The sequence below is a fragment of the Homo sapiens genome, chromosome 4 (genome assembly GCF_000001405.40).
Source record: "Homo sapiens chromosome 4, GRCh38.p14 Primary Assembly".
Lineage (NCBI taxonomy): Eukaryota > Metazoa > Chordata > Mammalia > Primates > Hominidae > Homo > Homo sapiens.
Genome location: NC_000004.12, coordinates 41960804 through 41964612, shown reverse-complemented (window position 1 = coordinate 41964612; position 3809 = coordinate 41960804).

Below are 3809 nucleotides of genomic sequence, written 5' to 3'. Positions count from 1 at the left end.
TTTCCCCTTGGCATGACATAAAAGATCCATTTATAAGAGACCCATTAATAGTCAAAAATGTTCATTTACAAGAGTAACTCTTAAGTATCTCCTCTTATCCTTGCTCAAAACTCTAAAGACATCTAAGAGTATCTGAAACCATTCTTCTGAGACTGTACCAATAGCAAATGTATTCCACAAATTCTATAAATTTTTAAAAAAGAACTAATCATGTGAATGCCCAAATTATGATGGCAACCCAAAGAACATTCATGGGCACATTTCTGACACTGTTACTTACCATACAAAAATGCACACTTCAATGGCTGGGCACGGCGGCTCACACCTGTAATCCCAGCACTTTGGGAGGCCAAGGCAGGTGGATCACAAAGTCGAGAGATCGAGATCATCTTGGCCAACATGATGAAACCCCATCTCTAGTAAAAATACAAAAATTAGCTGGGCGTGGTGGTGCACGCCTGTAGTCCCAACTACTTGGGAGGCTGAGGCAGGAGAATCGAACCCAGGAGGCAGAGGTTGCAGTGAGCTGAGATCACACCACTGCACTCCAGTCTGGCGACAGAGCGAGACTCTCAAAAAAAAAAAAAAAAAAAAAAAAAAAAAAAAAAGCACACTTCAGTGAACAGTATCTGAATGAGGACTGTATTCTAAAGCTTTCCTTCACAACTATCAATAAGAAATTCACTGACTTCTCAGTGGAATTTTAGTTTCTCAGTCTTAAATTGAAACCCTAAAACGTCCTTCTACTTGTTGCATAAATATAATGGAAAAAATTATTAGCTCACTTAGGCACCTTGAAAACTAGTAGTATGTATTAACAAATGATAATGGTCTAAATTTTTTTTTTTTTTTTTTTTTTTGAGACGGAGCCTCGCTCTGTCGCCCAGGCTGGAGTGCAGTGGCGCGATCTCGGCTCACTGCAAGCTCCGCCTCCCGGGTTCACGCCATTCTCCTGCCTCAGCCTCCCAAGTAGCTGGGACTACAGGCGCCAGCCACTACGCCCGGCTAATTTTTTGTATTTTTAGTAGAGACGGGGTTTCACCGTTTTAGCCGGGATGGTCTCGATCTCCTGACCTCGTGATCCGCCCGCCTCGGCCTCCCAAAGTGCTGGGATTACAGGCGTGAGCCACCGCGCCCGGCCTATTTTTTTTTATAGCATGAAAAGGTTAAAATCATGACCAAGAAGCCCTTTTGAACCTTGCTTAGATAGGTTAGTGTAAAAACCAGCTGGAACAGTCAAAACCTGTTTCCTTTTCCCCCAATTTTTTTAGTTACAAGCAAAATGAGAGCCACTAGAATTATTTTTCAGAAAAATTGCCACCAGGGGGCAGTTTACTTGTAATTAAGGTAAGATTCTAATGTTTCAAAATTTAAGGATGTGATAATTACCAGTAAGTAGAAAATGAACAAAGAATGATTTTATAAACCTGCTTTAAGGTTATTTGAGTATATTAATAGCAAAGATTTAAAAACATGATGCTACTGAAAGCATACTACTACTGTATGTATGTATAACATTATAGCAGCCAAAAAACCATTTCAGAATAAGTAAAATGAACACAAAAACCCAAATAGACTTGTAATAAGTCTCCTTACGTATAACTTTGCCATAATATTAAAAGGCAAACACCACCACCAAAAACCCCTCTGGTAGGTTATTAGGATGTTTACTTTGAAAAATTTTTTTTATTCCCAGCAATATATCCATATAATTAAGAACATAACTAAAAATATAAAATAGCACATATTAAAATATTTTCCTTGAAATGGTTTCAATATTTTTCTTTTGTTTCTTAAAGGGGATGAGGTCTTGCTGTTTTCCAGGCTGGTCTCAAACTCCTGGGCTCAAGCGATTCTCCCACCTCAGCCTCCCAAGTAGTTGGGATTACAGGCGTGCAACCACCATGCACAAAGTCCAGATTCAATATTTTTCCAAGAAATGTTTCTTTTGAAATTAAGGACTGTCCTCAGGACAGGAAAATATAAAGTTCATTAAAAAAATTAATTCAAAATAAGCCCAATAGCACAAGAGCCCAAAAAGGAAGTTTAGCCATCCAGATAAAGTGTTTTTGTTTTTGTTTTTAAAGCCCATTTCTAAACACTTCAAAAGATGAACTACATGCTTTGGATATTACTAAGTTGAACTGCCAAACACAATACTATGAATTCATAGTATCAAGACCCATTATTTTAAAGAAACCTAAGTATATGACTGTATCTTGTATAAATTAATGACAAAAAAAAAGAAATACCTATTTTATTCTGGATTACTACAAGTTTTATTTCTGTGTCTTCAGAGTCTTGGTTTGTTACTTAAGTGGAATGGTCTATTATTGTTGGAACACTAGGCAATAATGGTTGTAAAGCTCCAAATTTGTAGGATTTAAAAAAATGATACAAACTATTTTTTTAAAGTATATAAAATTTTAAAGTAAATCTGTGATTAAATTCACAAACTCACAATCTAATTACTTGATATTTATTAATATTTGTTTTAAGGGCAACTTAATGAAGACAATGGTACTAATATTAAATTTGTCTTAATTTAGTGGCATAGCCCCAACTTACCCCCGCCCCCTTCTTTGGTTAACAGGACTCCCTTCCTTTGCAGAACTTAACTGCCTCCTATTCTGTTTCTGGTGACAGCACCAACCCAAATCCCATATACTCAGGTTTTCAGGGAAAAATAGTTGGATACACGATCTCCACTGGGAGGGAGAGAGTAAAGAGTAGAATGGCAACATCTCTTTCTATAACTTCCCCAAGAGGGAGATGTTTATCTCTGCATTTTCCTGAGGGCAACAATATATGGAGACAAGTCTTCCCTTTACTAAAAAATGTTGGAATTTCCCCCTCCCTTCATAATATATTGCAATAAAATCACGTAAGCCTTTTTCCTATCAGGGCATTACTCTTAATCATTTCCAGTCATCCAACCTAAAAGACCTATGATAATTATCGTTAACGTTTTATATTGATCTTAAAAAGCATCTTAATATGTTAGAGATACATAATTAAAATTTTACTAAGTCATTTAAAATAACATGAAATGATTTAAACCAGGAGAAAGGAAAGTGAATAGGGATGAGGGTAGGGCACATTTGACCATAGCCAAGGATTGTGAGGGCTGGGAGATAAGAATATGGAGGTTCATTACACTATTCTATTTTTGTGCATGTTCAAAATTTGCCATGATAACATACACTTTTAAAAGATCTTTGTTGACACATCACCTGCTTAGACTGATAATTCTCAGGGATCTCAGTGCACCACTTTCTTGGAGTTTCTCCATTCGACCAGCCTTGAGTAATGAAATATTTTTCCCTTCACAAAGCTCAGAATTATTTTATAAACAGCTCCAAATATTTCCATATGCTAAAGGAAAGAGCATTATGAATCAATAATGCATATGTCCCTAAGACCTCACACTACTAAATCTTTAGGAAATCAATTTTCCTAACTCTACTTATTGCATTACCACTTTTCCCCTTATGTACATAACTCATTTACTAATTAATATTTATTCACCTGTCAGAATTGCCTTTATACAACTGATTTCCATAATGCTCTTAGATTACAATCTCCAAATGGACAAGGATTTAACTTCCTTGTACAGTGTATTGCTTAATGCCACTTGTCAAGAAGAGGCAGAAAATTCTAAACACCTATAAGAGAAATATATTTCTCTGTTATCCTGCGTTGACTGATGACTTTGTATATACTGTATGCTGTGAATCATTATAGGGCTATAACTCATCTCTAGAGTATAAATTTCACTAGATTAAAAAAAGTACAGAATCAAGCAAACA